The 13,640-nt window shown below is 34.8% G+C and overlaps 1 protein-coding gene and 1 long non-coding RNA gene across 7 annotated transcripts in view; one reads left to right on the forward strand and one right to left on the reverse strand.

Moving 5' to 3' along the window:
* The window catches only part of PPP1R1C (protein phosphatase 1 regulatory inhibitor subunit 1C), a 176,906-nt gene that overhangs the window by 95,842 nt on the left and 67,424 nt on the right, over positions 1 to 13,640 (forward strand). For all 6 annotated transcript variants that reach the window (NR_048567.2, NR_048566.2, NM_001261424.2 and 3 more), the window contains 2 exons: positions 11,121 to 11,158; positions 13,410 to 13,470. Coding sequence is in view for 4 of the 6 variants with exons in the window: in NM_001261424.2 (NP_001248353.1) it covers positions 11,121 to 11,158; positions 13,410 to 13,470 (99 nt within the window). In the remaining 2 variants the exon portion in view is untranslated. The remainder of the gene's footprint in view (positions 1 to 11,120; positions 11,159 to 13,409; positions 13,471 to 13,640) is intronic.
* Positions 465 to 9,046, reverse strand: LOC102724288 (uncharacterized). Its single transcript, XR_001739816.2, has 3 exons — positions 5,095 to 9,046; positions 2,281 to 2,364; positions 465 to 1,674 (listed from the first exon to the last, which is right to left on the reverse strand). It is a non-coding gene; the product is annotated as an uncharacterized LOC102724288 (long non-coding RNA).

The raw sequence follows: 13,640 nt of genomic DNA on the forward strand, positions 1-13,640 counted from the left end.
GAAGTTTATCTTCACCATCTGTTTATACCACCTTGCTATCTTGTACCGTTCTTTAAAAAGCCTAATTTTGGTCTTTAGGACTAAATTATCTCTCAGAACTCCACTCCATCTGCTGACTTTATTTCAGTTTGGTCTTTTGGATACAAAAGTGCTGCCTCTGCAGCCCACTCTCCACCCTCCAAGCCTCTGCTTGTGTATTCTGTTCATGTGTTAATTCTGAACAGCATGTCAGGACTACCTGCTCAGATGCCAGCCTTACCTGGTTCTCTGATCATAGTGTCACACTGTAGCAATAAGTCATCCACTGATTTCACAGCCTTGCCTATTTATTTGATTCTTCCAGATCCTAGCCAAATTAAACACTAATCTTACCTCAGTCATATCTGTTCACCTGTCATCCACAAGCCAATACTTAAACTTCGGCAAAAAGCACAGTATAAAACACATGCAAAACTGACAGGAAATTTCAAGAGAAAAACATTTTAATATAGAAGATTTTTCCACTTCATTTATTAATCTCAGTGTACTCTGCATACATTTCCTAGAGTATGAGTCTCAGAACACATTGTACTACAATTTCATCCAGATTTTTATTACAGCAGTCAACATTTTCTCTTGAGTAACTTTAAAAAGAGAATCAAACACATCCTGCCTTCAGACAAAAACAAAACAACAGCAGCAGCTGAGCTTCTCATGATGCAGCGAGATACACAGGCTGGATGTGAAAATAACCTATCCTCACCTGAATACTTTGAATTTCATGGAGGAAATTGATGGAGAAAGGTGCGGTATTTTGTTTTAAGCACTAACTCAACAGAAGAGTAAAAGAAGTGGGGAAAGAATATATGCATGATTGAGACTTTTATTCTGCAATCTTATTAGTGTTTTTTGTGCAAAATATGTTCTTAGTGCCTCCTGAAAGATAGAAGAAAAACTTAAATGCTGACCAGTGTTTAAAGTCTGTGGAATTGTAGCCATCACTCTCTTGTTACAGATTAAAGGAGGTGGAGAGGTAAAGAATCAGCCTCCAGTAATGGTTACCATGAGAGGTGTAATACTGTAGTTGAATGAATGACTTTTCCAGTGCAGGCCTATACAGGGAGAAGTGATAATATTCATAAGGCTTAGCCATGGTTTTTTTCTGGTAGCTAAATATTACCACCACATCAGTTACAGTATTTCCATTGATAGACATTTAAAAAAAACGGTCACGAAATAACTTTATCACCATACTTCATAAACTTACATGGCCTCTATTTTTCAATTTAAACTTCAGTGTGAAAAGATGTGGAATTTTCACAGCTGTGCTAGGTGAGTCCCACTGCCTTAGAAAACAATTAGACAACACTTCTTAATCATAAAATTTACTCACACATTAGAGTGAACTTGATATTGACATAATGACCTCTCTATGTTTATTCCCACTGTTTAAATACAGTTAAACCATTTGTTTTTTGATATTAGAGTGTATATGAGATGTTTTAGGTTTAGTGGAGATTGAGAGTTAATATTTTACAAAACCCTTTTTTAAATTGTGATAATACTGGTGCGCATCTGCAATCCCAGCTACTCAGGAGGCTGAGGCAGGAGAATTGCTTGAACCAGGAGGCTGAGGTTGCAGTGAGCCGCTGAGATCGCGCCGTTGCACTCCAGCCTGGGCGACACAGTGAGACTCTGTCTCAAAAAAAAAAAAATCATGATAATACAATGATTAATACTTAATATTTTTGACAAAATTATTAAGCATCAATTCTAGATTGATGATTTTTAAATAATACATTTGATAGAAGTTAAAAGGTATCAAATACCGTTGTATCTAACAAAAATGCTAGCAATATAAATAAAAACTTAGCTTTTAGTTTTTCTTTGTGGCTCCAGGTAATTCAGGAAATTTCTCTAACCTCTTTCCTAGGATTAGTTTTAAGGGATGGGATAAAAGTAAATCATCAGATTAAAAAAGTGTCAATGGAATGGTGAGAAAAACACGTATCATTGAACACAAATCTAGTCTCTGTCATGGCAAGAAAAGAATATTGGGAAATCTCAATTTCCTTTCTCCTGTTAGAGCAGACATGCTTGGCTCTATCAGCTAATAGTTATTTTTAGACAATGCCAAAGGAATGCCTTGATAAGTGAAATAATCAAGTTTATTTCTTTTGTGTGTCATATCATCCCACACAGCAATGGTAGTTTTGTGAAATTTAATTCGATTTCGGTGAATTCTACCTAACTAACTGGTTTAGGATTGCCCACAATCCTACATTCTCCTCTGACACTCACCTGCTTATGTATCTCACATTAATATGACAAAAGTGAGGCCATCACCCCAACACAGCAGGCTGCCACTTCACTGCTCAACTTGCCCTGTTGTAAATTAAGAAAAAGATATTATCCACTTAATCTTAGGATTAGTATTTGTGTTTTAACCTTTTGTTGTAAAATTAATCGAAATCACAAAACATACAATTTTTATTAACATGTTTGAATATTTTTAGTAAAATAAAATCATAATTTATTGACAGATGACTAAAATAGACTGACTTCCTGTCAGCTCATTAGAATAGCTCCCAAATGAGTGAGCCAAGAAAAAAAAATCGTATGTTTGAATTCTAAACAAAATATGGCAATATGTTTCCCTTTTAAAAAGAAATTTTCTGTTTCTTGGTACTCACCAAATATTCAGAATAAGGAGGAAATTGAAGTTATTTTGGAACCAAGAAAAACAGGCTTAGTACACAAAACAAAAGTGTATGTTTTTAAAAGAAAGGACTTTTATGTTGATAATTTCATCCGTTCAAGAAGGATATTAGTATGAAAAACAAACCAATTCTGCTCTTAGAGTAGGACAAAATTAGCTTTGGAAACAATTGTCTGCAGTTTCCTCCATCTTCCATTCTGTTTGAAGATGTATAATCTAGTTGTGGTGAAAAATGTTTTCAGCTAAAGGGTTTATACAATGTACAAATATTTGTTTTATTCACTTTGAGCGAATAGTTGATCTTTTATTTTTAAACACTTTGGAATGTATAAATATAAGTTGATCTTATTCATTGATAAAATAAAGGTCATTGTAACTATTGATCTTTTTCGATTGTCTGAAAATGGCTGTATTTTGTCATTTTTGAATACAACTTAGTGGGTAGAAAAATAGTTTTGTTTACTTCCATGCCTTTGCCTTTGCCATTTGTTATTGCAGGTGAGATTTTTCCACAGTTAATAATTGTCCTTTCTAGCTCTCATTACCCTTAAGATTTCTCTTTAAATGTGATGTTATAAACTTTTACTTCCATGGTCTGGGCGTAGAGTTATTTTCATTAACTTTCTTGGCATCTGTTTTATTTATAATATTTATGTATCTCTTCACTTATAAAACATTTTCTAACATTTCTTTTATCCTCTCATTCTAAATCTGCTCTTTTATATGATTTTGCAGATTTTTATTTATTTATTTATTTATTTTATTTATTTATTCTTTTGAGACAGAATTTTGCTCCTGTTGCCTAGGCTGGAGTGCAGTGGTGTGATCTCAGCTCACCACAACCTCCGCCTCCCAGGTTCAAGTGATTCTCCTGCCTCAGCCTTCTGAGTAGCTGGGACTACAGGTGCCTGCCATCACGCCCGGCTAATTTTATATTTTCCTCTGGGATTAGTGCTGGGATTACAGGCGTGAGCCACCACCCCCGGCCAGATTCTTTAATCTCTTCCTTATGTCTGTTTACCTTTGTTTCATGTATTTTATATCTTTATATTTTGGTATTGGATTTGGGTAAATTTCTCAGTAACATTTTTGATGTATTAATTTTCTCTTAAATTATTTCCAATCTTGAATTTTTGTTGTCATAATTTGTTTCTTTTAACTTTTAATTTGGAAATAAAAGATTCACAGAAAGTTTTAAACATAGCCTGGAGAGGTTCCAGGTTCCTTTCACTGAGTTTTCTGTAATGGTAACATTTATAGTACAATAACAAAACCATGAAATTGACATGAGTACAATGTGTGCTTATAGTTTTATGGCATTTTATCTCTTATGTAGATTTGTATACCTACTATGGCAATCAAATAGAATTATTCCATCACCACAAAGATCTCCCTCTTGCTACTACTTTATATTTATACTCACTCCTTCCTCCTCTCACTATTCTTGATCCCTGGCAACTACTAATCTCTTCTCCATCTTGAATAACAAAATGTCATTCAAGAATGTTATATGAATTGAATTACACAGTATGTGACCTTTTGAAATTGGCTTTTTTTTTTCACTCAACATAATGCCCTTGTGTATAGTTAGATTATTTTGATTTTTATCCACTGTGCCAATGTGTGTGTGTAAGTGTGTGTGTGTGTGTGTCTTTCTTTTTGAGACAGTTTTGCTCTGTCACCCAGGCTAGAATGCAGTGGTATGATCTCAGCTCACTGCAGCCTCTGCCTCCTGGGTTCAAGTGACTGTCCTGCCTCAGCCTCCTTGGTAGCTGGAATTATAGGTGTGTGCCACCACACCTGGCTAATTTTCATATTTTTAGTAGAGACAGGGTTTCACCATGTTGGCTAGGCTGGTCTCGAACTCCTGACCTCAGGTGATCCACCTGCGTTGGCCTCCCAAAGTGCTGGGATTACAGGCATGAGCCACCACACCTGGCCCAGTGTGTTTTTTAATTGGTTTACTTGGGCCATTTATATTTAATATAATTACTGCTATGTTAGGACTTACATCTACCATTTTAGTTTTCCAGTTGTCATTTTGTTTTTAGTTTCTGGTTTTTTTTTTATCTTTGCCTAGGTTACTTGAACATTTTTATAATTCCATTTTGATGTATCTGTAACATTTCTGAGTGTATCTCTTTGTATGGATTTTTAGCAATTGTGCTATTATGCATACATACTTATCACAGTTTGCTGGTGCCAACTTTTATCAGAGTATAGAAACTTCCCTCTAAGTGTCTTTACTTCCCTCTAAGTCTCTTTACCATCTCTTACTTATATGATTGTCTTAAATATTCCCTCTATATAGGTTGAGAACCATAATTTTTTATCTACTTGGCAAACATAATGTAGACAATTCAAGAGAGGTAGCAAAATCTATGATATTTACTCACATTTTTGCTTTTTCCATTATTCTTCTTTTCTTCCTGGTGTTCTAAGACTCCTTTTTTCAATCCTTTTTCTTCTGGTTATAGAGGACTTCCTTTGCCATTCATTTAGGGTATATCTGCTAGTGAGGGTATATCTGCTACTGGCAAATTCTCTTGGTTTCCTTTGTCTAATGGTGGATAAAGAAAAACTTTATTTCTCTTTCATTCCTAAAGGATGATTTTACTGAATATTGAATTCTACAGTTGATAGTTCATTTTGTTCAGTACTTGAAGACCGTTGTGCTGCTTCCTTCTGGCTTCATGATTTCTCATGAGAAATTATGCTTTCTTCTTCATCTCTTTGTAAGTCCAAAATATATGCATTTTAGAGACATTTTAAAACTGCTTTGATGTTTTCAAATTGCTCTGATGTTTTCATTTCACCTGGAAGAATTCATCTTCCACTTGCTTTTTAAGCAGCATTCCTAAAAAAGAATTTTCATTTTCTTCTTATGTTTTGAAATTTTAATTTTCAACTCCTTGTGAATGGGAGTTTTCTCTCCTTTATGCTCATTCTTCCTTGTTAATGTTCTTGAGTCTTTCTTTATTCAATACTATATACTTGTCATCTAGAATGAGATCCTAATTGGGACATCAAGGACTCCTGTTTTATGATGATACTAGAAGTAAAGCAGAGGCACTTACCTGGCTTGTGGTGGCTTGTTCTAAAATGACCACTTTCTCCCGTCTCGCTAGATACACAGATGAGTGCCTTTCTCAACACAGATGAGAGAGCCCTGCTTCCACTTCCAGGCAGCAAGTCTGGCCTTTGTCTTTCACACGAAGTCAGTTCTGCTGAGAGATTAGAAGTTCTAGTTGCCTCAGTCGACTTCTGGATCTAAAGACTTTCAGGCCCCATGGTTTCCAACCTGCTTATTGCATTTTGCTTTTCTTGTATTTATGGTCCTTGGAGATGTTTAACTAATTTTTGACTGTGGCTCTATCTTTTTAGTCATCTCTTTTTGTATTTAGTCTGCCATTGCTATTGCTTTTGAGCAGAAGAGTCTTCAAAGAATGAATTTACAAGACTGTTTTTATTGGAAGCCCTCCAATTTCCACTAAACTGACTTTTTTCCTCACATTTCCAAAATAGGTGCCTAAAATGAAGATTCAAGTGACCCTCTGTTATCTAAATTCATCAAAAGTCTGTATCTTTGGGGTTTAGTCTAAGAAATTGAGTCTCTTCTTACCAAAGCATTCTATATATGGGTCAGTGCTCTTTAGCAGCCAATATCCAGAATAAATCATTCCTTTCCATGGTTTTAGTTATTGTCTAAGGCTAGTTTCTGTAAAATTATATGTTTGATTTGACCTTGCCTACCGCTTATTTTTAATTTGTCTTATACATATTGTACTTGAAATAGATATCTTCTCAATCTCTAGAAACCAACAGAGGGAAGTCATACATCCTTATTTTTCCTCTAAGATTCCCTTTGAGCCACTTAGGCAATATTTATAAGAATTTGAGTGTCTGTAGCATTTGAACCTAGTACATTGATTTTTAAAAATGGAAGTAATGGATTCTGCCTTAAAAAGTTTGCAAACTGAACACTTAAAAATTGTTAAAAGTATGTATTTAGCACCTACTATGAGCAAATAATTGCACTACTATTGTAATTTGGAATGCAGAGAAGCAGCAAACAGATGGTCTGGTTTTATGAAACATAGGCATTAAGATAAATTTATTTGACAGGTTGTTATTGTGTGTCAGCTATGCTATTGTGCTCAGAGATGTGGAAAAATCAAACATAGAGGATAATCCTCATTCTTTTGCAGGTTGCCTGGGGAGATAAAAACACTAATGGACATGATATAGGGAATATGGTGATAAGTTCTATGAGACAGGAGTAAAGGAAGTGCTGTGGGTGTTGGTTGGGGAAGAGATGAGTTCCAATTGAGCATAGGAGAGACATGAATTGGGAAAGATTTCCCAGAGGAAATGCTGTTTGAACAGAACTCTGAGGGATAGTAGTATTTGGTATGAGGGCAGGAGTTTTCTGGATATGGGGAATAAATGCACAGAAGCAGCAAGCTGGGGGATATGTATAATCAAACAGATACTAGTGGTATTTTATTTTATGCTTTGTTCCATTATCTCCCCACATTCAGTCAGTAAGTAAATCAAGGTAAAGTGCTCCCATCATTATGGACTTATTTGAAAATTGTTTAACTCCCCATTTTTTCCTCTAACACATTTTTACTTGCATCAGCTTTCAACAACTTCAACTAAACTTTGAAATATTCTCTTTGTAAGCTCACTCTTGCCCTTCCTTATACCTCTTTAATTGGCCCTATATAACACTTTTAAATGATATTTTCATGACCTTGTTTTTAGTTACATTGTCTACTTTCTAATCATGACTCTCTGTTGCTCTTCAAAATACACGCAGAATTCTGACAGTAAGAACAAAAATGTACTCTTAGGGTGATTTTATTTGGATTTAGTGATTTTTTATTTTTCAAGTTTTTATTAATGGGCTTAATTTTTTTAAAGAGTTTTAGATTTACGGAAAAATTGAACGAAGGGCACATTGAGTCCCATGGAGCACCTTCTTCACACACAGTTTCCCTATTCTTAATATTCTAAGTCATTACTATTTAATTGTTACAATTAATAACCCAATAATGATTTTTTTAATTAACTGAAACCCATAGTTTATTGAGATAGTTTTATAATGCCTTTTTTTCTGTTCCAGAATCCCATTTAGGATACCTCATTACATTTAATTGTCATGTCTCCTTAGGCTCCTCTTGGCTATGACAGTCTCTCAGACTTTTCTTGTTTTTCATGACCTTGACAGTTTTGAAGAGTACTAGTCAGCAATCTTGTACAATGCCCTTGTATTGGGATTTATCTGATGTTTTTCTCATGACTAGACTAGGCTTAAGGGGTTTGAGGAGGAAGATCATTGATATAAAGTCTCGTCTTCATAGCATCATAGCAAGGGATCAACATGATTTATGACTTGTGTTGCCCTTGGTCACCTGGCAGAATTAAGTTTCCCACCATAAAGATACTCATTCCCTCCTGCTCCTTTTCCATACTGCACTCTTTGGAGGGAAGTTATAGTCTGTACTTAAGGAGTGGGAAATTGTGCTCTCATTTTTTCATTTTTTTATTCCTCAAAACAAACTTATGAGAAAATGAGGAAGGCAGAGTAAGAATTATTATGCTTCCTCTTTCCCATTTCACACATGAGGAAAACTCTGTAATTCAGGAATTTTACGTGGCTTAAGTGTGGTCACGACAGACAAATGGAAGAAACAGTATTAGATATTATGTATGCTCTACAGTGCTTTCTCCAAGACAGATTTTTCTGCCAGCCTCAACCATGGCTCTTTAGGCTTTCCTTAGCGTTGTCTCTGCATTCTGCCCGTTTCTTAGTTTTTATAGTTCTCATTCTATTATAGTTCACTTTTCCTTATTTTTTGACAATGTTCTTTTTGTTTCCTTTGCTCTTACACTTCATTTTTGTAGGCATTTAATTTTTTATTACAACTAGTTTTCCAAAATTGAATGAGATCTCATTGACAAAGACAAGGAGACGCTGGGTGTTTGTAGTTCACGTGTGTATCCACATGCATTCTCAGTTTGTCCTGTTCCTTTCATGAATTTAAATATCTTAAGGGCATTCTAACTAATCAATACTCAAAACAGAAATTTCTGTTTCTATCTTCATCTTTAATGATGACAATATTTCTTAAAATGTTATACTTAGATGAGTTTTACATTTTCCTCCCAAACCAAGAAATTTCTTCTTTCAGACTAAGTGGTCCTTGAGAAATGGAGAAATATAGACAAGATATGGCTGGAATAGCTACAAAAGCCTCTTTCAGAAAATTTATAGTTTTTGATTATGGGTAATCTACTAACACACTGATTTTGTTCAACCCTACTCCAAAATAGTATTTTTTTTTTCTGGTTTGATGAGAGAGCTAAACAATATTTGAAGACAGGGGTATATTCTTATGCTTCATGTGGGATCCAGTTTCCTAAAGACTTCTGGGACTGCCAACGGGGTCAGAATTTGAGGCCCTGAGGGAAAAAAAAGGAGACATTATTAAGAACATTTTGATGTTTTTGTTTAAAGAGCTGGCAACTATGATCTGTTATTGGCTTCCGTTGTACCTTTGTCTGAGTCAATTTGACCTGAAAAGTTAGTTATTTAATTTTCACTTTTCAATTTCAAGACAAGAATATAAGACTGAATTTTTTTAATCCTTGCCTTCACGACATAAATAATTGATTTTATCAGCAGAACTCAACAACAACAACAACAACAACAACAAAACAAACCTTTTTTCATTGAAATATTTAACAGTGAGGCCCTCATAATTGCCTTGGGAAAACACTGTTTTAGTGGGCATTGTAGTGAGACAGTAGGGAAAGTAAAAATCTGAATGATCAGATCCCATTGTGTTTCTAAAACATAAAGTTATAGGTCCTGGGTTGGATTTTGTAAACTCCTAATCAAAAGCAAAATATTAAGGAACCCCACTGGCATTTAATCATCCAATGGATCACAGTACATTGTTACAGTGGATCATATTTGATATTTAATAATAATGTGATAGCAAAAAATAGTGCACATTGATAGACAGGATTGTTCAATTTAGTATATCCATAGCTGCCTGAAAATGCCCCACATACTTACAGTCATTGCATCAGACACTTGTGATTGCCATACTAAACTGTCTGTCCTCCCTTATATAAAGAAAGTACAATGTATCAGAAGTTTCCATAACTTTTTAACATTTAGTAAGCAAGATATCAGATTAGAATAAACAATGGTTCCATATACTATTCCCATTCTAGCTGTTTAGCCAGTTTGTTCTCTTACTATATGAAATATCAACTTCAGGCATGGTTGGATTTATAGAGAAATTCTACTACATATATGTATATATTTGTGTGCATATATATGTATATCCACATACATATGTATACACTGCTTTTTTGTTGCAAAAGTAATACATGCTTGTTATAAAAAGAAAAGCAGTACAGATAGGGATAAAACAGAATGTGTTATTCAATCACCCCAGGATAACTACAGTTAACATATTGGTAGTCTTCTATGCATATATATATCACTTTATCTACATACATCTATCCTTTATTAAATAAAAATACCATTCATTTAGTTTTGAAATATTTTTCACTTATATAGCATGTATTTTCATGTCAATACAGATCTACATCATTGTCTTTAAGCAGATATTATTTGATGAACTTCTCATTCAGTTTTTGGATCATGGGGTTAGTCTTTGAGCCTTGGGCCTAGCATAAGGATCAGGAAAGAGGAACTAGGTGAAGAAGCCAAGAGGCAGAGGCCATACAATGTAGGTGACGAGGTAAAAAAGAAACCCAGCCCAGAACATCTTCCTGCTGTGGAAGGGGCATGTGTAAGCACCTCTTCCTCCATCTCACCGTTCCTCACAACCCTTCATACACAGCACAATCATAAGAAGCCACCCAAGCACTGTCATAAGAAATATTTGATGGAGCAATTAGTTCTTTCCAGATACATATATAGAGAGGATACTGCCTTCCTTGTAGTCATGGTGATTGGACTGAGTGGGAAAGGAGATTTGATTTGGGTAGTGACAAACTTGAGGAAATTTGACAAAGGCTCTCATTAATGGATAGTGGCAGAGGAGAGGAGGTTCCTGACACCTTAACTGTGAGGCTGATGACACCTAACTTTGTTCCAAGAGTCACTTCCCTGGTCCCCTTTCTGGACTGCTGAAAGGTGAGAAATCTGGGATGTCAAGAGGAAAGCTTTTTCTATACCTTTTTTGAAACTTTGGGAGAAGGTTATATCAAAAGGAAACCACCCACCTCTGTCCTCCTCTCCTTCTTAGCTGTAAGTTGTAGTTTTTGTATAAGGCAATTATTAAATCATTTTTATCCGTGTTGTTGAAAATGTTAATATATATATTACAAGAAAGAATATTACATGCCTAATACATTCTACCTACTTCTCTTACAGAAATAGATGACAAGAGGGGGCCCAACACACAAGGGGAAGTAAGTTTTTAAAAATATTTTGTATAAATGTGTTCAAATCAATTAAAAATGCAAAAATTTGCTTGATTTGATGTGATATAAATAATGATACAACTGTAATAAAACTTTAGATTGCTCCTTCTGACTGAATAAACAGTAATATAGTGTCATTAAAATCTCTGCCTCTCAGTTACCTTTATTCTCTACCTATGTAATGCTAACCCCTGAAAAAACTTTTAAAATAAAACATCACTTTTAATGGCAAAATGTGGTATTGACAACTTCAATTTATTGAGTGATTATATATGCACACCACAGGCTAAGCCAAGTAATGCTGGAACCCCAGAGCAAGGAGATGGGGTTGGAGGGATGACACCTCTTACAGGGTCTTCTGGTATGTGGAGCCAAAAGTCTGAGGCCAGAGTCTAGGGGGACTGAAGTCTCCAAAGCCTGAGTAAACAGATCCAACGGGTTCACCTAGAAATGTACTCAGATTTAAATTCAGCAGGCTGTCTGAACACTGTCACTCTCTATTCCCTCCACATACATGTGTAGGAGTTTATATAGAAAATAGAAACCAGGAGAGGCCAGGAGAGCATATAATATAGAATATATGAAACACAAAGTGAATAAACTAGTTCCCAGAAATGAAATAAATATTGAATAGGATGCTGTGCAGGGTTACCTAATCAATTCCCTTGATCGTAGGTGTAGGCAAACAGCAATACTTAAAGAGAAAAATGTAGAATGGACAAAATATCAAATAGTATATCACAAGACTTTTCTGAAAATTTTGTGAAACAGTAAAAGTGGAAAAGCTTTCAAAACTAAACTCTTACATAAATATAAATTAGTTTTTATTAGTAAGTTTACACTGTGTTACTAAACAACAACAATAAAAAAATTTCTGTAGATTTAATTTTCTATTTGATCTTTAAATATGTGTATGGAAGTAAATATTAAAAATCCCTAAACTGATTCGTTCTCAAAACCAGCCAGATGTGACTGAAACAGTAGAAGTGCCCCAGAAATGTCAATCATCCACATATTTAACATTAATGTAGAGTCACCCTGTCTACACCTGTGCATAGTATGTAGGTATCACAAAACTCTATTCTGGAGAAATTTGCTTACACTATTTGCTCATCTGCTATGGATTTGGTAACTGTTTTGTTGAAAGGTTTAGTTTTTAATTGATTGCTTTTGCATCAGATAAATAACATCTCGATGATACCTTTGAGGGCAGTTAATCTTTAGCAAGCACAAGGAAAGAGGCCTCAAGCTCTATTTACAACTTTGTAAAACAGTTTCTAGTTTAAACTTTGTACATTATGTTCTTGCTAATGTGCATAGCAAGCCTGGAACAATCTTCAAAAAGTATGTTGTAACTATTTACACTTGAGCTTTTCAAAGCAAAAATAATTGCCCCAGATGCAAAAACTCATTGATTAAGACCCGTACACTTGCCACATTAAAACATAAATCAACATGCTATTAAAATGGAGTCTTTGGCATTTTCCGATTGGGGGTTAGACCATGTAATTTATTAAATGAATAATATGTATATCCATTATATAGGGCTCTGTATCCTTATCTGTATTTTGACCCTGAAATAAGTTCTTATTTTTGTCATTTTGAAATGCAAAATCTCTTCAATAACTTTATCCTGATCCAATAATGCTTAGGTAAGAGTGTCACATAACAGTTTTATTAGGAAAGGACTTATCTTTTTTTTTAACATATGAAGAATGTTACCTCAACATTATAATTCCAAGTAAATGGAGGTAATAGTTGAACATGTCAATTCAAGAGGGTTAAAGATTGCTGTTACTTTCCAAGGATCTTCATTGTTCCTCTTGAATCACTCAATAACCCCACGAACAGATACTATTATTCCCTGGACATAGCTTTTGGAATATACTTTGTCATGGAACTCAGACTGTTTTTCTCTCAAATGAAAAGGATTGGTGTCTCTTTTTCTCTTTCTTTTTAAAATAAATTAATGTTATTAGGTGGGAAAGTAAAATGATTTCAAGGCTGCCATGAATGAAGAATTTTATGATTAAGTAGACCCTACAACTCCATGTATCTCTTAAGTCTGTGATATCACTAACATGTATATAATTTCTCATTAATTAGATTCTATTTCATGACAGGGAGAAATCAGAAAGCTTTTCATAACATGGCACAGTATTTATTTCCCTCACAGGTCTGATGGCATCGTACTTTGTATCCAAATCTAAGGCTTTTACTTTTTTCTCTTTCTCCACAGTTACAGAATGCATCCCCTAAGCAAAGGAAGCAGAGTGTGTACACACCACCCACCATAAAAGGTACTGTTCAGGTACTGTTTCGGGTTGTCATGAGTGGTGAATCATGGCTGGTCGGCCGTCTGTTCTCTAGGACCACATATCTGATGATAAGCTAGATCTAGTCTCAGCTCTACAACTTAACAGTGTTATGTTCAGTAAGATATCTTATCTACTTAAAACTTAGTTTCATC

Source organism: Homo sapiens, chromosome 2, assembly GCF_000001405.40.
Source record: "Homo sapiens chromosome 2, GRCh38.p14 Primary Assembly".
Taxonomy (NCBI): domain Eukaryota; kingdom Metazoa; phylum Chordata; class Mammalia; order Primates; family Hominidae; genus Homo; species Homo sapiens.